At 40.7% G+C, this 20,993-nt stretch overlaps 2 annotated features.

Annotated features, from left to right (window-relative positions):
- Nucleotides 1,750–2,489: an enhancer, noted in NCBI's record as "NANOG-H3K27ac-H3K4me1 hESC enhancer chr5:114364747-114365486 (GRCh37/hg19 assembly coordinates)". NCBI's record gives its function as "activates a minimal SCP1, AML or CMV promoter by ChIP-STARR-seq in naive H9 embryonic stem cells {active_cell/tissue: H9 hESC(naive)}" and the evidence as "EXISTENCE:reporter gene assay evidence [ECO:0000049][PMID:30033119]".
- Nucleotides 2,490–3,231: an enhancer, noted in NCBI's record as "OCT4-NANOG-H3K27ac-H3K4me1 hESC enhancer chr5:114364005-114364746 (GRCh37/hg19 assembly coordinates)". NCBI's record gives its function as "activates a minimal SCP1, AML or CMV promoter by ChIP-STARR-seq in naive and primed H9 embryonic stem cells {active_cell/tissue: H9 hESC(naive and primed)}" and the evidence as "EXISTENCE:reporter gene assay evidence [ECO:0000049][PMID:30033119]".

Genomic DNA, 20,993 nt, shown 5'->3' with positions numbered 1-20,993 from the left:
CCTATGACTGGCCTATCCTTGCTGCGGCATCATTGCGCACATGGTAGCAGTGGCTTGATCAGAGAGACTTAGAAAGTTGCTTAGTGGAGTACCTATAGATGAGTGTTCCAGTGGCTTTCAGGAGTTCTTTTTGACTGTGTACACAGTGAACATCATGGCCAGTAGGAAGCCAAGAAGCTGAGGGAGGTGTGTATCCTTCCAGGAGCTAGAATAAATAACATAATGATGAAGTACTTTTGTAGGGAGGAAGAACACATCACTGCTTACTGTTATTGTGAAGAGTGGGTGTGTAGAAGTCACTAGTTCTATATCTTTGACATTGTGAAAACTGTAATTCCCAGTATGGGTTATCAGGAGGATCCCTTGGGTTTAGGTAGCAGCTTTCTTCTAAAAGAGTCAAAGCTCTTTTGCATGTACTGTGTCCCATATTTTTTTACATTTCTGTTAGGTGTCCAGAGCATCAGGTTTACTACTTGTTTGTTAGAAGTGATGGAGGAATTGGAACACAAGAATGTCCATAATCAACTGCTGCTTCCATTTAGTTTTTGAGAAAAATAAATATAATACACAAGGAGACAATTGTCCATGAGTAGGAGGGAAAGTACTACCTTATTGTTTGCTGTAGCTTTGGACCCAAGTACCAACTGCTGAGAAGCTGAGCAGGACCTCCTGAAGCTCATCTTTCCAAAGCTTGTGCGCATCTTCTGTTTTGTGTCCTGAAGTTCACTCCTGAATCTTCAAACTTACCATCAGGAAAGGACCATCCAACACACACATGGCCTGTGCTGGAGAAGGAATCCATGCTATGTGCATCCAGCGGAACTGGTAGAGACTGCTTGATAACCTTGGTTTTTCTCTGCAGGGCCAGGCTAAGGTACTGTATGGGAAGACTAAATATGTGCTGGGATAAAGAGAGAAAAAGTCAATTTTTTTGAATATTTCTAGAAAAATTTGGAAAGATACTTCTAATATAAGCATACAATAAGTTTTGTTTCATTTTGAAAAAATATACTTATTTAGTAATTTTTGTAAAAGGGAATTAAATAATATTATTAGTGCATAGGCCTTTACTTTAGTTTAGTGCATAGGCCTTTACTTGGTTTAGCCAAGATCTCTGTCTTCTGGAGAGAAAACATCTAAAAGGGAATGCTGATTGCAGGACTCATTTTGTTAAGAAAACTCGCCACTCTGGATTCATGGGTGGAAGAGACAGAAGGCAGAGAACTATGTCTGGGAACTGACCTTTTAATGCAAAATGACCCCCACCTACTGGTAAACATGGCCCACCTAGTGTTCTCATGTCTGACGAATCCGCATCATCTCCTTGGGGATGATTAGGGACTAGGTAGGGAGCTACAAAGGACACTGGGAGGAGAACAGAGATAAGCCTTGGACTACTTTCCTTATGGCAAACCTTAATATGGATCAGAATCATCTGGAGAACTTGTTAAAACCCAGATTGCTTGGCCTCCATCCACAAAGTTTCAGATTCTGTAAATTTGGGCTTGGGATTTTTTGAAGTCAGGTATCATTTTTGTAACCCTGAGCACAAATGTAGGATTTGCCTTCCTGTCTTTAGAATTACTTTCCTGTCCAGAGCAATGCAGCTGAGTACCAGAGGTAGCTGGAAGCTGAAGGTTGCCTTCTTGTGCTATAGTAAGTCAGAGAGAGGCCAACGTTTTATTTGTTTATTAAATTTGAGAAGAATTAGTTTTGTCTTGATTTTGCTTTTCAGGGTGACAATGTCAGGTTAATTTAGTTAATAGAGTAATTTCATATGATGACAACAGTATGTATAGAACACCTCCTGTTTCTTATTTTAGTAATTTGTTTCACTTATGCATTTTTATGGAAATTATACCCAAAAAACTACTATATTCTTATCATACATTTCAAGACTTAGATACTTTAATAATTATTATACAGAGGTAGATTTCATGGAATAGCTGCACAGTATGTTATATAACAATTATTAAAATTTCTTTTAGCATCTCTGTTTGATTGTGTAATTGCCAGTGTTTTCTAGGTGTTTGGCAGTGTTTGCGATGCTTACACATTCATCTTTGGTCACTTGCCAGAATCGTACTGACTTCTTGTGGGTCTCTCATTGTGTAAGTAAAGGAAAGTTTAATCAAGGTGGAAACAAATTTGGATTATGTATTTTTCAGCTGCACTCATCTACCAGGGAAATTTGATCCAGAATGTTGCCTTTACATAATAACAATTATTGGCGGCATGCACTGTAGAGTAAGATTTCTGGATGCCAACAGATAGAGTTAGATAAACAGACACATCCCTTCCCGCTGCATTGTCACTGCTATTTACTACACGATTTCAGGTTGGAGATATAGCAAATGGAGCAGAGTCATCTGCCTAGGGAGGGAAGAAGAGCTGCATGAATGGAGAATGCTGATCTCTGGGTTCCTCTGTGAAGGGATCATAGCATAAAGGGTGGCAAGGTGCTGCGCAAACTCAATCCACCATGCCTTCCACTCCTCCTGTTCCATTCATCCCTTCTTCTCTACCTCTAAATTGGCACAGGCCCTGATTTTACCAACCTGAGCATTCAAGATTATGATCTTCCAGGGGCAGCAGTGAATGCCTTTATTCCCTCTAGAGCTGCAGTCTTAGGTTGACAGCAGATCCCCACCGTTGGTGACAGGAGTCTATTTTATCCAGTGACTTCTGGGCCAGGAACTGGAATAAGTGCTGGTGCTGTGGGAAGCAGCATGGCAGTCACTTGCCAAATTGCCCATGCACACAGACTCATTGTGTCGTTCACGATCACAGATCAATCCTGCCTTTGACATTTAGATGACAGCGATCACCTTGCAGCTAGAGCACAGCATGGGCCTCATTTAAAAAGTGATTCATTTGCAGTTCCTTCACATCTTCTTTGGTCTAGTTAGTGTGATATTTGTTTCTCTGACAGATAATCTAAGACAGAGAAAACTTGGAATAAATATTCATTAATTCCTAAGTAGAAAGGTACTATGTGCTCATTATAAAAATCCAAATATCCCAGATATTTATAATGGAGAAGAAGAAATGTCTTTCTAATATCCCATTCCCACCTCACCAACAGAGATCTCAGTTGTTACCAGTTTGGCAAAGGGATCTTCACATTTGGTTTTCTCTACCAAACCTCACACAGTCTCTCAAGGTGTGGTATGTGAAATGCTAACAGTAAGTGGTAGAGAGATGAACATATTTTGTCTTACTATTCTGCATTTATTTTCAAAAAGAATTCACATCTTGAATGCAAGACTTCATGAGTGTTATTACTTTTCTGTTACAATAAATTCATTAATGTAAAAAAATTGGTTGATGAGAAAAAATTAATGGCACAAATGATACAGAATATAGCAAGAATTGTGAAGTTAGTACTCTAATGCCCAAAGCTGAAAAATTTTATACGAATATTTATCTTTGTTATTTTATTTATTTATTTATTTTTGAGATGGAGTCTTGCTCTGTTGCTTAGGCTGGAGTGCAATAGCACGATCTTGGCTCACTGCAACCTCTGCCTCCCAGGTTCAAGTGATTCTACTGCCTCAGCCTCCCAAGTAGCTGGGATTACAGGTGTCCGCCACCATGCCTGGCTAATTTTTTTGTATTTTTAGTAGAGACAAGGTTTCACCATGTTGGCCAGGCTGGTTTTGAACTCCTGACCTCAAGTGATCCACCTGCCTCGGCCTCCCAAAGTGCTAGGATTACAGGTTTGAGCCACTGCACCTGGCCTGTGGAGAGTCTTTTATGCCATCAAAGAGTCTGGAATTTTTCCTGCAGTGATGGGGAGCTATTGGAGGTACTGAGCAGGGGAGTAATGTGGGAAATACTGGGATTTGAGGGGGACCATTCTGACTTCAGGTGGAGAATGGAGTGCTATCGGGATGTAGCAGGGACGTTGTGATGGTTAATATCGAGTGTCAACTGGATTGGATTGAAGGTTGTAAAGTATTGTTCCTGGGTTTGTCTGTGAGGATGTTGCCAAAGGAGATTAACATGTGAGTCAGTGGACTGGGAAAGGCAGAGCCACTCTTAATCCAGGTGGGAACAATCTAATCAGCTGCAACATGGTCAGAATAAAAGCAGACAAGGGTACGTGGAAAGACTAGACTGGCTAAGGCTTCTGGCCTCCATCTTTCTCCTGTGCTGGTTGTTTCCTGCCCTTGAGCATCAGATTGCAAGTTCTTCAGCTTTTGGACTCTTGGGCTTACACCAGTGATTTGTGAGGGGCTCTCAGGCCTTTGGCCACAGACCAGAGGCTCCACTATCAGCTTCCATACTTAAAGGTTTTGGGACTCGGACTGGCTTCCTGGTTCCTCAGCTTGCAGATGGCCTATTGTGGGACTTCGCCTTGTGATCGTGGAGTCAATTCTCCTAATAAACTCCCCTTCATATATACATCTTTCCTATTAGTTCTGTCCCTCTAGAGAATTCTCACTAATACAGATGAGATGTGGTGATTTGGCAGTGAGGGAGGGAGCAGAGCCCAGAGTCTTCATCTGGCTGGTTCGATAATGACATTGAGCTACTTGGGGAAGTAGGAAAGTGAGCAGATTTGAGGGGAAAGGCAAGAAGGTGTGCTTTATAGGTTGAGTGTTAGATGTCCATGGGAAGCCCAGGTGGAGAGATCCAACAGTTGGTTTGGTATACCAGACTCTCACACTCACGGATTCATCCAGTGATTATTGAATGCTATGTGCCCTGCATCTTAGATTAAACAAGGTGCTTCCAAACCCCTCAGCCACATATTTATAGACAATTCCTTGGCTACTTCTAACAATTTCTCTGGTGGCTAATATATCCTTTACATTTTTCCTTTTCCCAAATTTTATCAACCTTATGTGTTTACCTTGCTATTTCCAAGAACTTGCCACATGCAGTTACAGAAGAGTAAACCTATTTATTAAACTACATACTTTTATTTCAGAAGTTTATGCTTCCATTGGTTTGTTTCAGATAAACTGCCTGGAAGATGGTCTCAGTCTGTTGCCCAGGCTGAGTACTGTGGTGCGATCTTGGCTCACTGCAACCTCCACCTCCCGGGTTCAAGTGATTCTCCTGCCTCAGCCTGCTGAGTAGCTGGGATTACAGGTATGCACTGGCTAACTTTTGTATTTTTAGTATAGATGGGGTTTCACCATGTTGGCCAGGCTGGTCTCAAACTTCTGACCTCAAGTGATCTGCCCACCTTGGCCTCCCAAAGTGCTGGGATTACAGGTATGAGCTATTGTGCCCAGCCGCATGTTTCATTTGGAAGTTTCCACCCTTGAGAATTATAAGCTATGCTACAGATGTGCAGAGTTGATCTAACTGTGTTAAGAAGGGTTATAAAAACCAGACATCTACCTAACACCTAAGGAAATTTCGTGTATTATTTTTACTATAAACAGTAATATTAATGATGACAAAACCTACCATTCATCAAGTGTCCATTACATACTTGGTCTTCAGGGAAATTATATTTGATTTACACCCATACATTGTCTAACTCATGTAACAACCTGTAGGGCATACATTGTTATTTGCGTTTTATGGAGGAAACACTTCCCCCTCATGGTTCTCCAGAAGCTCCTTCATGGGATTTTTTGTGAGCTCCTTTTCCTCTGGACATTTCTTAAATACTAATATTTTCCTCTTTTCTCTCTGTATATACCCTCCTTTGAGCAATTTTATCTGCCACATGCCTTCACTCACCAGTTATATGCTAATGATTCTCATATCTGTGTGCTCTGCCCACATGTCTGTTCTGAGCTCCAGACAAGTTAGCCCAGTGCCCATTGACTTCCTGCATTTGGTTGTGTCACTGGCATCTCCAGCTTAACACATCCAAAATTGAGCTCATTGTCCAAAATAGACACAGCCTTCAGGAGTTCCTCTTAGGGACAACACTACTGCATGAGCCAGAAACCTGGCGTCATTCTTCCCTTCTACTTTTTAACTCCTCTCTTTCAACTTGTCTCCAGGTTCTTCAATCCTAGTTCCCAACTCTCTCTCACATACATCTTCTCCTCTGTGTCCCTACTGCAGAGCCTTAGTTTAGATCCTTAACCTTTGTAACCTCATTTATAGCAACAACCTCCCAAATGACTTCTTTTTCCTGAGTCTCTTTTTCCCTCCAATTTCTTCTCTATACACCTGTGAAGCTGAGCCTTTTAAATACAAAACTCTGACTCTGTCTTTTCTTTTTCTGCTCAATAGCTATCCACAGTTTTCACAGTTTCTTCCAGACACATTAGGATAACAAATAAGGTCTTATTTCCACCTCATTTTCTGCCAGACCCTTTCCTACTCTTCATTTTTTAGCCCCATTGGACTTCTTGCATTTCCCCATCCTGCTGTGCTCTCTCATCCTTGGAGTCTCTGTACCTCTTCCCCCCATGCCTGGAACATTCTTCTACACCTAAGTTGCTGTCCAGCGCCTACTCTTCCTCTCATGCTCAACCCAGGCAGGGTGTTGGCTGGGAAGCCTTCCTCTTTGCAATTCCACCAAGTGCTCTCTGTGCTTTCAGAGCTCCCTCTGCTTTTCAACATCAAGGCACCCATTGTGCTCTCTTGAAATGATCACCTGTCCTGCCTGCCCCAAAAGCAGGGAGGGAGGGCATCTTGCTCATCATTCTGGCCCAGCATCCATTTGACTTCCTGGCATATAGCAGGTGCTCAATAATTACTGAATAAATGTATTAATGAAAGAATGAGAGAATCCAATAGCTCAGTTTAAAACCAGATTGGCCTGACTCTGAAGTTCATATCCTTTCTATTTCCTGCATGGTTTATTTGGAATCTTCTGCTTTATAGTCTTGGTCTGGACATAATAGCAGCAGGGGATGGGGAGAGATGGAAATGATATTACTGTGTGGTATGTGGTGTTGCATTTGAGAGTGCTGCAAGACACTCTTGACACCCAGTATTAGATGATTTTGCTTTCCACTTGGCAAAGTAGAACTGGTTAGAACCTTAAACTCAGAACTGGATGTAGCCCTAAACCCAGATGCAAATCTTTTACAGGAACCACTTCTGAATCTCACCTTTGGGCTTAGCAGTAGAATGAGTATAGAGTCATTTAATTATTTTCAGGTAAATTATAGAAGGACTTGGGATAGAAAAAATTAATGCCTTAAGCCCATTTCATAAAGTAAAAGAGAAAAATGTTTATTAGAAAATGAAAGTCATGTGAGCAGCTTGGGAGATGGACTAGAAATTAGAGTTGCAGCTGCATTTTGAACCAATTACTGCTAGAAATAGAAAGCAGAGGAGGAGCTGCTAACAGGCTATCACAGTAATCCAAGCATGAGTTCTCTACAGCAAGGGACTAGTTTTTCAGAGGGGAGAGTAGCTGTTTGAGACTTCAGTACACCGAGTGATGCTCAACTTAGTGATGTTCAGCTTCTGACTATGCTATGCTCTAATAGGAATCAGCACCAACCCATAATCATAAGGGTCCTTTTCTCATTCCATTCAGAGCCTTCACCTAGTCTTTTCTTGCTCTTTCTTTCTCCTCTCCTCCCAGCCAGACATACTTTGTATAGAGAGCTTCCAGGCACTGACATTTATTTATTTTCTCTGTCCATTGTTACCACTTCTGCATTTTTGTAGCAGAGCTGGCTTAGACAGATTCATTTTTCTGTGGACAGTGAACTGCTTTTTGGCATCTGTTATTATATTCATTTTGTGTCCTCTGTGCCTAGTCCAGTGTTAAATGGAGCTGAGGCAAAAGGTTAACCCAGAAAGCTTGATTTAAAACAAAAGACTAAACTGACAAGTTAGAATGAAATGAGTAATTATTTCAGTCAGAGTATTTGGAATTTGTGCAGGTAGGCAAAGCCTAACAATTCTGTAGGTAGGTTCAAACGTGGTGAGACAAAAATTGTATAATAAACAGTTTGGAGTTCTTGAAGGTATTGTATAAATAATACCCCAGAATACAGGGAAATCAATGAGAGAAGAGATGTGATAAAACAAGTACATGACTAAATGTCAAATAAATTATGCAGACAATGGTTACTTCAAATTCAGGGGTGGGATAATTTTGGATTACACTTATAGTAAAGAATTTCAGCAGATTCAGGAAGAGTGGATAAGATTGGAGTAAGGAATAAAGGTTGGTGACAAAAAGTCATCTGAGATTAGGAGTAAGAACAGATATTTTATGTTTCTTTAGCCTTAATTTAGCCTAAGACCAAGAGTATAAGCAGGCCAAGCAGTCTTTGAAAGGTTAAGAAAAAGTAAAAAAAAAATGCAGTAAAATTGGATGGACTTTCCTCTTTAACTTTCCAAAACAAAGAATTAGAGAGTGGAGCATTTTTTAAATGAAGAGTGACCAGGATATCTCAACCCAGTGTATCATACAATTAATACTTTCCCAAGAGACTATCCCTTTTTTCTCGTCTACTTTTTGGTTCTTTGTAATAGCTCAAGTTTATCAATACAGGTTATACTTTTCCTGTTTGGCAGAAGTAATTTCATATTTTATGCCGTATGTGCTTATTATTTATTATACTCATTATATCTTTTAAAAGTTTGTGGAAATAGTAGAGAAAGAAAATCAGTGCATTTTAAAAGCAGGAGATGGGTCACATTAATCAGCCTGGGTCCCCTTGAGAATCAGGTTGGAGCCTGTTGGATGACCTTTCTGAGCCTTGAGATACTGTTGTGCTCAGCTTGTGTGCTGTGGGTGTGATGCAGAAGGACCGCAAGAAATAGTTCATTCCTCTTTTTTTAATCACTCAGTATTCTTCTTTGGTGGCTCCTGTCAACCTTGGTGTAAAAAACACAAGTGTCTCTCAGTGACCCTTCAAAAGGGAACAACCAAGACAGAACAGAATTACCAGTCAGTGCTGGTGTTTTTTGGAGCTGTTTCTTTTTACTCTTTATATTTCACACTAGCAATATTAGCCACTGTTGTTTTTTAAAGCTTAAAGCTTCCCCTTTCTGAAAGAAGAATCATTACTCATCCTTTCCCAGGGAATGAGAGGTTTGTGAGATGCCTACCATTGTGGTGACTGTTCATCTCTTTACCATGGTACTACATTATTGTTCCTTAAGTCTGAAATCTCCACCAAGGAGTCACCCAGCTCTCTCATCACACAATAACTTAACAATAGGCATTATACCCTTGGTTATATAATTGTTCTCTGAGAAATGTTCCTTAAACATTCCAAGCCCATTTCACAGCCTTTGGTTCTGTTACAGGATGATCTACTTATGTATTATCAAAATCTTATTCAGTGACTCTCAAATTTTAGTGAGCATCAGAATCACCTGGGGAGAGGGGCATGTTAAAGCACAGATGGCTGCCCCTTCCCTGAGTTTCTATTCAGCAGGGCTGGGGAAGGGCCAAGAATGTGCACTTCCGACAGTTTCCCAGATGTTGCCGATGCTATTGTTGCTGTTGCTGCTCTGGGCACCAGACTTGGAGAATCACTGATCAAATATTCAGATCTCTGCTTGTCATAGAGACAAGTTCAGGGTGGTTTATGATGTGTCACTAAATTTAAGACTTGACCGACTCCTGGAATGTATTTTGATGGTGTCTTCAAGTTTGAAAGATCCTAAGTTTTTATGTAATTCTGTGTGGGTTCTCATGGATAAAGACAATGCCGGGGACCCAGCTGAAAGGTCTATAGCAACTGTGGGAATTCTTGGCATCATTTTCTGGTATCTCCCAGAAAGAGACAACACCACAAAATGATGTGAGCTGCTAGACTTGGATCAGCAACTAGAGTCTGTATCTGAATGGAGATAAAGGGTTCATAAGTAATATGTGGAAGCCTAGCCCTTTCAAGAATACTTAAAACTTAGAAAAAAGTAAGCAGGGCCTCTGAGAATTAAGAAAAACCACTGTCCAAAGCCTGTAGACTTGACTTCTAGAAATGGACTGTAGCAGCTTTAGGCCCACTTGGTTTAACCCAGGGGTCTCTAATCTCTGGGCCATGGACCAATACTGGTCTGTGGCCTGCTAGGAACCAGGCCAGATAGCAGGAGGTGAGTGGTGGGCAGGTGAGCAAAGCTTCATCTGTATTTACAGCTGCTCCCCATTGCTCACATTACCACCTGAGCTCTGCCTCCTGTCAAATCAGCAGCAGCATTAGATTCTTATAGGAGCATGAACCCTATTGTAAACTGCACATGTGAGGGATCTAGGTTGCATACTGTTTATGAGAATCTAATGCCTGATGATCTGTCACTGTCTCCCATCACCCCCAGATGGGGCTGTCTAGTTGCAGGGAAACAGGCTCAGGGCTCCCACTGATTCTACATTTTGGTGAGTTGTGTAATTACTTCATTATATATTACAATGTAATAATAATAGAAATAAAGTGCACAATAAATGTAATGCACTTGAATCATCCCCAAACCATCCCTTTGTAACCCTCTCCTTGTAGTGACTCCAAATACTGACAATACTCTCAATTTTCCAGCTTCAGTTTCCTTCCTTCCTTCCTTCCTTCCTTCCTTCCTTCCTTCCTTCCTTCCTCCCTCCCTCCCTCCCTCCCTCCCTCCCTTCCTTCCTTCCTTCTTTCCTTCCTTCCTTCCTTCCTTCCTTCCTTTCTGTCTTTTTTTTGTCAGTCTGACTCTCTTCCCCAGGCTGCAGGGTAGTGGCATGATCTTGGCTCACTGCACCCTCCACCTCCTGGGTTCAAACGATTCTCCTGCCTCAACCTCCTGAGTAGCTGGGACTACAGGTGCCTGCCACCACGCCCAGATAATTTTTGTATTTTTAGTAGAGGCAGGGTTTCACCATGTTGGCCAGGCTGGTCTCAAACTCCTGACCTCAAATGATCCACCCACCTCGGCCTCCCAAAATGCTGGAATTAGAGGCATGAGCCACCACACCTAGCCCCAGCTTCAGTTCTTGCCTTTCTTTAGATAGACTTATATTTCCATTTATTTCACTTTTCCAGTCAGAAAGATTTTACATTTTTAAATCTTAACTTTTGACTTTTGGTTTCAAAACCTACTTCTCCTTTAGTTCTCATCGTCTCTACTAATGTAACACCTCTGTTGCTGGAGCCAGAAGCTGGAGCTGTCTTTTATTCTTCTCTTTTTTTTTTTTTTTTTTTTTTTGAAGACAGAGTCTTGCTCTGTCGCCCAGGCTGGAGTGCAATTGTGCAATCTCAGCTCACTGCAGCTTCCGCCTCCTGGGTTCAAGTAATTCTCCTGCCTCAGCCTCCTGAGTAGCTGAGATTATAGGCATGCCACCATGCCCGGCTAATTTTTTTATTTTTAGTAGAGACGGGATTTTACCATGTTGGTCAGGCTGGTCTTGAACTCCTGACCTCAGGTCATCTGCCCACCTCAGTCTCCGAAAGTGCTGGGATTATAGGCGTGAGCGACCATGCCCCGCCTATTCTTCTCTTTTCCTTACCACCACTATACATTTACATTCTTTCATTTTGGATATTTATATTAGATTGTTTCTCCTCCTCTTGCTCTTCCCCTTCCTTTTGCCTTTCTTCTTTTCCAATTGTCCTCAAGCAACAAAAAAACTTTTTAATTCATGACTCAAACAAAATTATTTTTATATTTATATTTCTTTTCAATTTTTATCCTGTATGTTTCATTTTATAAATCACTCTGTCATAGTATACATATAATTTTTGTTTCACATTCTCTCCTTTTGGTTTTAAAATATAAATATATATATATATATATATAATTTATTGCCTCATATGGCTAAAAATGCCAAGGGAAATGGCTTACTCTAGGACTCCAGGCTGAGTCTCTCTCTTCTTCTCCCTCCTATACTTTTCTCCTGTTGAGTCCAATCTTAGGCAGGGTCTTTCCATGTGCAGGTAGTTTACAGATGCTCCTGGTGTAATCCACTAGCTAGGTGAGAAGCAGCTTACTTTTAGTTCCTTATTGCATTGTGGTTTTTCTAGGTTCAATTATGTTTTTAAAACATATTGTTGATAAATGTTAGTGAGATTCTATTGGTGATAGACTTGTTCAGTTTTATTTTATTTAAAAAATGCCTTTATAATTAGCTGAGTCAATTATAGATCGATAGCTTTGGAATATTCTTCTACTGGCCCATACCTTCTGTTGTTGCCGTGCAGAAGTCTTACTCAGTCTAATTGTCATTTCTTCGTGGGTAATCTGTCTTTTCTCTTTAGCTGCTTTTAGGATTTTTGCATTTGTTTTCTTGCACTTCCACTGTGATGAGGGATGAAGATGGAAAGGAGTGAGTCAGTAGGCATAAGCTCAGGTTAGATGGGGTAGCAAGGTCAAGGGGAAATCTTACCTAGAATAAGTCAGGCAGAAATCTTTGACTTTAAAGGTTCTTAAATGTTCTGAGCTATTGGAAAGAGCTAGTGGATGTGATTGAAGTAGAGGTTTAGCTTGGCTAAGGACTAGTGATGAATTTTAAAAATCATGTTTGAGTGTCATTTTTGGGATATTACTAATAAATCACCACAGTGATAGTACTTTTAATTGCTTTGCCTAAACTTGTGTTGTTTATTTACTTGACTCTAATTTGCACTATTTATGCAAGAGGTGAACCTTTTTTTAATCCTTGGTATTCCTATGGACATGAGTGGTTCATTAGCAGACTGATATTGAAGATATACCTGAGGTATTACTGAGCTATTTGTCCTAAAATCATTTTAATATTTTAGAAACTGAACTCCTAGAAACTCATCTCATGTATCTTCCCCCTAAGCTGTAGGGTATCACTAGAGGGTTCATTTCTTAAATACCTATTAAAATATTTTTCCTGATCTTCCATAATTTTTAATGGATCAAAGATCTTAGCAAGTTCTCCTAATATCTAACTTATTTTTTTTCTGCTGGATATAATCTTCTAAACTATCAGTAAAAATAATCATGTTCATGTCACTCTTACATTAGCCCTTTATCTATTTAAAGAAAATTATTAAGTTTCTCTTGAGCTTTTTCTTTTCTGGGCTAAATAAGCCCCATTTCTTTATAATTTTCTCATGGGAAATATTTTCTAATCATTTTCATTGTTTTCTTTTCCTGGACCCCATCCAAATTTTTGGTATTACACTTCAGTTGCTGAGCCAGAAAATGGGCAATTAATAAAAGCTTGACCAGTGCTGAGTGGGAAGGGAGGCTAACATATGGTTTTTACATGGTTTATTATAGATCCTGTGTTAACATGTAGGGCCTATTCCCCATGAGGAATAATCTCATTCTAAGCAGCCAAAAATTTCATTTCTTCCTTCAGAGCCTTAAAAGCACCCCTACTAGATCAGCTCAGTGATGCATCATTAAAGCAATGATATCTTACCCTGTTGTCCAGGCTGGAGGGCAGTGGCACGATCTCAGCTCACTGCAACCTCCGCCTTTCGGGTTCAAGTGATTCTCTGGCCTCAACCTCCTGAATAGCTGGGATTACAGGGGTGCAACACCATGCCTGGCTAATTTTTTGTATTTTAATAGAGACAGGGTTTCACCATGTTGGTCAGGCTGGTCTCAAACTCCTGACTTCATGTGATCCGCCCACCTTGCCCTCCCAAAGTGCTGGGATTACAGGCATGAGCCACTGCATCTGGCCACAATGACTGTTTTTTACAGGAAGGCTGAGAAGTTTTGCCAATGAAAGTGAGCACCTTATTTTAGGTTGATTTCCTGGGTCATCCTTGAAGCACTGTATTGCTTTAATTGAATTTTTATCTATATCTGAGATGCTTGGGTGTGTCTTTGTTGGCTTTTTTGAGCTCCTGTTTATTCTGTCTTCATTTAGTCTGAAGTCAAAAAAAGAAAGGAGGTTATGGCCTCCTTTCTATGCCTGCTTGTTTAGGACTCATATGATATTCCCTTAGTCACAGAAACGTACTAGGTCACTGGGTGCTTTGCACAGTAGTTACAGTATTTCTTTTCTTACCATCCTAAGCAATAGATCTGGAGAAAATTGGGTTCTCCTTGAATGTCACGGTTTTGAAGGATTTGAAGGGCAGAAAACTCCATAGTACCCTCTCCTCAGAAAAAAGCTCTGAAATGGCTGGTAAATTCTGTTTTCTCTTTTCTTCTTTCTTTCTTTCTTTTTTCTTTTTTGACTGAGTTTCGCTCTTGTTGCTCAGACTGCAGTGCAGTGGTGCTATCACAGCTCACGTGACCTCTGCTTCCCAGGTTCAAGTGATTCTCCTGCTTCAGGCCTCCTGAGTACCTGGGATTACAGGTGCCCGTCACCACGCCCAGCTAATTTTTTGTATTTTTAATAGAGATGGGATTTCATCATGTTGGCCAGGTTGGTCTCAAACTCCTAACCTCAGGTAGTCCACCAACGTTGGCCTTCCAAAGTGCATGGATTACAGGCTTGAGCCACCATGCCCGGCCTAATTGGATTTTCTCTAAGTTCAGCCTGCTCTCCACAGAGGATTAGTCACTTCAGTTCCTGAGGGGCACTGAGATTCTGGCACGATCACAATTTCATTAGCTCTGACTAACTAATGCATTCTCTATAATGATTACTTTAAAAAATAAAACCACGTATTATTTTAGATAGTATGCAAACACCCCTCACTAGAGTTATTGGAAAAAATATTGACCCTACTAGCTCAAGTTCAAAACTGATAAACGCCTCTATAGCCAGCAAGGGCACAGTCTTCCCTCTCCTCTAAGGGTTAAATTCCTTGCTGTAAACTCTGCTCTGAGTTACTGCTGTTTTAGCATCTTTGTATTTCTGGAACTCCATGTCTGACACTGCTGGTGAGATTATCTGCACACAGCTGGGAAAGAACATCTGCCTCATAATTTGAACAACTTTCTTTTTTTGATGAGCTCAAGTTCCTCATTTCAGATAAGAGTGTTATTATTGATCCTTGGAATAATTCCTCTGTTAGCAGAAGCTCATTGTTGTTGAGGGAGAAATGAGGGGCAGCATGTATGCATTATGATAGGATTTACTTTCTTCACCTCTCTTTTTTTTAGAAAAAGACTTTTTTTTAGAGCAGTTTTAGGTTCACAGCGAAACTGAGTAGACAGTACAGAAAGCTCCTATATGCCCCTCTCCCCACACATGCACAGACTCTCCATTATCAACTCCCCCACCAGAGTGGGACATTTGCTGACCTCCAGTGACACACCATCATCACTCAAAGTCCATAGTTTAGATTAGTTTCCCTCTTGTTGCACATTCTATGGGTTTTGACAAATGTGTGATGACATGTCATTGTACAGTCTCCCTCAGTGTCCTTGGGGAATTGGTTCTAGGACTGCTCATGGATACCAGGATCCAGGCATACTCAAGTCCCACAGTCAGCTGTGCAGAACCTTCAAATACAAAAAGTCTGCTCTTGTGGGTTTTGCATCCCACCAACAGTATTTTTGATTCTTGTTTGGTTGCTGTGTTAGTCTGTTCTCATGCTGCTATGAAGAAATACCCAAGACTGGGTAATTTATAAAGAAAAGGGGTTTAATTGACTCAGTTCCACATAGCTGGGGAAGCCTCAGGAAACTTACAATCATATGGAAGGCACCTCTTCACAGGGTGGCAGGAGAGAGAATGAGTGCCAGCAGGGGAACTGCCAGATGCTTATAAAACCATCAGACCTCGTGAGAACTCACCCACTATCACAAGAACAGCATGGAGGAAACCACCCCCATGATCCATGATTCAATTACCTCCACCTGGTCCCATGCTTGACACGTGGGGATTATTACAATTCAAGGTCATATTTGGGTGGGGACACAGAGCCAAACCATATCAGTTGCAAGTGTGGAACCTGCTTAAACAAGGGCTGACTATATTTACTGAAAAATATCTGCAGATAAGAGGACCCATACAGTCCAAATCCATGTTGTTCAAGAGTCAACTGTAGTATCATATAGAATAGTTTCACTGCCCTAAAAATCTTTTGTGCTTTATCTATCCATCCTTCCCTCCCCCAACCCCTGGCGACTACTGATCTTTATATTGTCATCTTGGTTTTGCCTTTTCCAAAATATCATATGTCTGGAATCATAAGTATGTAGCCAGATTGGCTTCTTGCAATTAGGTATATGCATTTGAGTTTCCTCCTTGTCTTTTGATGACTTGAAAGCTCATTCTTATTTGTCTACTCATCTCCCAAAGGACGTCTTGGTTGCTTTCAAGTTTTGGCAATTATGATCAAAGCTGCCATAAACATCCGTGTGCAGGTTTTTATATGAAGGTAAGTTTTCAACTCATTTGGATAATTACCAAGGCCTGTGACTGCTGAATCATTTTATTCCTTAAGTCTCATTTTCATCCATTGCAAGGAGCAAGCATATATTGAGGACTTACTATGTGTCAGAATTTTCAATAAATTATGTCATCTCATCCTCATGATTACCTTGCAAGGTATTTTTTTCTTTTTATACATGGAGAAAGTGATGTTTAGAAAAAAGTTAAGCAATTTGTTCAAGGAAACATTTGAACAAATTGAAGATTTAAATAGAGAAACTTCTAGTCCTAGAGAATTTTTATTTTATCTGAAATAACCTGGAGCTGGAAGGGACATTAGGGAGGTATGGCCTTGAGCAGGCACACTGCTAAATTTCTGGGGCCTACGGCAAGAATATAAGTGGAGGCCCAAGTACCAATTGTCTTAATATTTAGAAGTAATAAATCAGGCAGGCAAATTGTAAATAAGGTGTTCTGTCCACCTACTATGACAAGACCAACTTCATACCAACTTGAAGGGCCAGATTTGAATCTGGAATTCTCTGACTGCTTAAAGTTTAACACCAGAATGTGATGGCATGGGAGAGGCTGGCTGCAGTCCCTCCTACCCCTTCTCATCCCTTAGTCCTGCACTGCATGGGGCCTTCAGGTACACATGTAGATTTACAAACCTCCATATGCAAACCCATCTATACTCTCTGCCAAAAGCTGTCCTTTGGTCACCCTTCAGACCTAGGGTGGACATAATGGGATGTAGACTTTTATTGAGAGGATGGACACAGGGAAGAGGTCTACACTGGCCCTGGAAGTAGGAGTGTGGCCATTTGTACAGGGAATTTGAGGATCCCAGGGGTCCAGAGCATGATTAGAAAGGATAAAAGCTTCAGGTAGGCAGATTTCCTTGACTCTGTGGTCTCTCTAACCTGCTGGAGGGGAAGGAAGGGAAGTTGTAGCTAAGGAGACACAGAATGGGGCCCAAGACAAGGTCTCTTTTGTCCAGGTCTAGGGATAGAACTGGATCCAGGTGTCCCATTTCATAGATAAGAAAATGGAGACCAGAGAGATGGTGAATTTCTCATCGCATTCCTAGTTAATGGCTGCACAAGGACGTCCTGATTCTCTGCACTTTTCATAAGGTTGGCTTTATAAGGCTGGGTTGTTCTACATATATCCATTAATATAACCCTATCCCAGGAATCCTTTTCACCAAAGAGCTTAAAAACCTGCCCTGGGTATCATTTTTACTCAGTCACAACCAGAGACTCTTGCATAAACAAACACTATTCTCTGTTTTAGATGACATTACAAAGCAATCAATACCTCAGGAGATTTCTAAAGGCTAATTTGAAACTTTTGGAGACATCAATCACAGAATAGTTCCCAAATAATTTCCAAATTACTTCCTATAGAGGTCAGTTTATTGATGTACTTGTATGAGTCAACTGGCCCACCAAGAAACCACAATTAGAAATGTGATCAACATAAACTTAGTTGAAACAACTAGCAGATGTTTTCAATGATTTGCATATGAATTAGTCACGAGCTTTAGAAATCTAGCTTATTAAGGGTTCAGATTATTTTGTACATTTTCCCTTCTGTTGGAATGTGCTGAAGGAAATCTTCTATTTATTAAAAGGCCATGCCATAAACGTCTTCCAGTATTCAGGTTTTTGCTATGCATAGGTAATTCCTGATATTATATGCTTATACATTTATATATAGATATCAAAGTAAAAAAACACTTTATTTCTTATAATGTACATTTTATATGCTATCTAATTTGATTCTTACAAATGCCCCACAAGGTAAGTTGGCCAAAGGTGTTATCATTCCAGTGTTTAATGGGGACACTGAGGTGCAAAGGTACTGATGGCTCACATAGCTGGTGGGTACAGAGTTGGAGTTTGACTCTAAATCTGTACCGCTCTGCTTCTTATGAGTGGAGGACATTTAGCCTCTTTTAAACCTCAGACCACTGTGGCTTTACTTTCCAGAAATTCTTGTGTATGTCCCCTGAAGCAGCATAACCGGCATAAATCTTTATGCAGAGATCTATGTCACTTGGAAGCCTCGTAACCCCAGCTCCCCATCTGGAACACTCTTTTATAATTACAAAATCCAAATGGACATCGAAGCTTTTTTTTTTTTTTTTTTAAATCAGAAGTCAGTTAATAAAACACATGGTACATACTATCAATATTCACTTTTAATTCAAATAAATATTTATTATGATGCATTTTATCCCATACTATAATTAATGCATCAAATTCTTTTCTATTCCTTTCTTCTTTTTCAAAGTTACATTGAAACTTTCTCACCTTATCTACGCCTGATGTGAGACTAGCTCTTCTCAACACTCAACAACATGGCCGCCAAAGTAGTGAAACAAAGAGAAAGAGAGATAAGTGAGAAGAAGACTAACTCTGTTGGGATTATGGTTGGATCACCTTTTTATCCTTTCAGTTATTTGTTAATCACCCCCTTGAAACACACCAATTTTTAATGCCACGAGGATATCCTTACACTGTAAACACTACAGTAGAGAGAGAAAAGGGCATGATTTGAAGCAAAATGTGGTCTCTCTTATAGAAAACATTTTCTGATAAACATTAAGGAAAATATTAGGTTAAAATAATTTAATTGTTTATATCAAGTTAGCAATTTTTTTTTTGTATAGGACCATATAGTAAGAGTTTTAGGGCTTATGGGCCACACAGTCTCTGTCATAACTACACAACTACATTGCAGTGCTAAAGTGGGCACTTTCCAATGAACATGGCTGTGTTCCAACAAAACTTTATAGGAACAGGTGGCAGGCTGCATTTGGCCAAATGCAAACAGGATATAGTTTGCCACCCCCAGATTAATATATTTGAACTTACCTCTTCAGCCTATTAGTCAACAGTCTAAAAGGACGCTGTTCCAGTAGTGGGATTTTGGGTCTTACATCACTCTTGGTTACCATTCCTGTCCTGGGCAGAAACCCTCTGACTCCACATATACCTTCAGGACTCAACTGCCCTCTTTATCTGTCAGTGTCCTCCAGCTATGTCCTCCTTCCTTTTCTCTTAATAGTTATAGTGTCAGTTATCCATTGCCACAATAAAGTGCACAACAGTCACAAAACCTTAGTGGCACCAACCACTTTTTTATTATTGCTCCTGAGTCTGAGTCAGATGGGCTGGCTGGGTAGCTCTGCTGATTTTGGCTGGGCTCACTTACCCACCTGAGGCTGTGCTGACCGAGATGATGGGTGACTTGGCTCCAGCATGCTAGCCAGGTATGTTTTCATGACAAAGGCAAAGGTGCAGAGCCTGAGTAGAAATGTGCAGCGCTCCTTGAAGCCTGGCAAACTCTCTTCTGCCTCCTTCTGTTGGCGAGTTCATATTCAAGAGGTGGGTAAACAGACCCCACCTTTTCAGTGGGAGTGATTGCAATTTCATCTGGCAAATATGTGGACATAAGGAGGGGTAAAGAATTGAGGTTATTAGTGTAATCAGTCCACGAGAGTCATCTAGTCTAGTAGATTCTTCCTTCTCTCTTTCTAGTGCCATCTCCCTTTATTCCTGTTACTGTTTCTTAGGTCCAGCTCTTACTGTCTCAAGCAGGTGCATTAGGATTCTCACTTGCATTCTTCACCCCTCCAAGGCACCAAACACGTCTTATGATACAGAGCTCTGGTGGTATCAGTTCTGCAGTTAAAAACATTCAGTGTCTACCCATGAAATTCTCTTGGACTGATTTCTAGGAGCTCTACTTTTGTGCTCCATTTCACCTTTCCAGCTTTATATACCACTTTCTGCTATATCACCCTATGGCAAAGCAAACCACTTCCAATTCTCTAACCATTCCTTAATTTTTCTTATCTTGACCCTTTCTTTAAACTGTCTCTGTTTGTAGAAATTGTCTTCCTCCTTCCAGATGCAGCTCAGATGCTTCTTCTTTCAGAAACTGGATCAGGCTCCTCTCCACAAAGACTGGAGCTCTCCTTGAAAAGTCATGATCCTTTCCTTCTCCTTTACATAAACATTTGGCACATTTTATCTTGAGTTATAGGGTATCTATTTGGATGATGACTTAGCACTCCCAACAGATTTACATTTTTTTTTTCAGGATGAACTGTGGCTATTTGACATCTCCAGGTCCCTGGCATAGTAGCACAAAGTAAGCATTCTAACAAGGTCTGAGGAAGGACTGAGTGCTTGAGTGAAGGTGGCAAGGAAAGAGGGCACCTCAGTCTCCAAAAGAGTATTTTGAGGTTCCAGAGTGGCTGCTTCCATCTTTTCAGGTTCCAATGGAAAAGGAACAAACTCCTCTTCCATTTATTTTTGTTATAAAGGGCTTTAGTTAGCAAACAGCTGAAGCAGCCTGTCCAGATGTGGAAAGAGCCCTTGCTTTGTTTTTTCAACCAAACCTTTTGTTGCCTGGCTAATGTCTCCTTTTTCTAGAAGAACCTCTGGCCCCAGGAGAGGAGGACATGGCTGTTAGTGGCTACCTATTGCACTGTGATGGATGATTTTCATGCCTTCAGGCTTGCAGTGCAGAACGATGGTGAGAATCTAGCACACACCATCTCCTCCTTTCACCCTTACCATCATACTCCCATAGACCTCTGAATGTTAGGTAATATTCATCACAGATTCTTCTCCCAACCCACCTTTCTGGCTAGGAGGCAGTCTTCCTCTGTCCTGACTTCTCCTATTCCCATGGGGAGATGTGAACTTTACCTCTTTAGAGTACACTCATCTCTAAGGGCTTTCAGATTGATTCAGTGCCGCATCTCAAAAAATCATGTTTTCTGAACAAATCCAGTGAAATCAGAAGAAACGGGCCAGTTTTATCAGATTATTTTCCTTGTTCTTGACTCCTGCAC

This window comes from Homo sapiens, chromosome 5 (genome assembly GCF_000001405.40).
Source record: "Homo sapiens chromosome 5, GRCh38.p14 Primary Assembly".
NCBI lineage: Eukaryota > Metazoa > Chordata > Mammalia > Primates > Hominidae > Homo > Homo sapiens.
The sequence above is the reverse complement of the archived record's forward strand: the minus strand, read 5'-3'. Positions and strand labels throughout refer to the sequence as shown.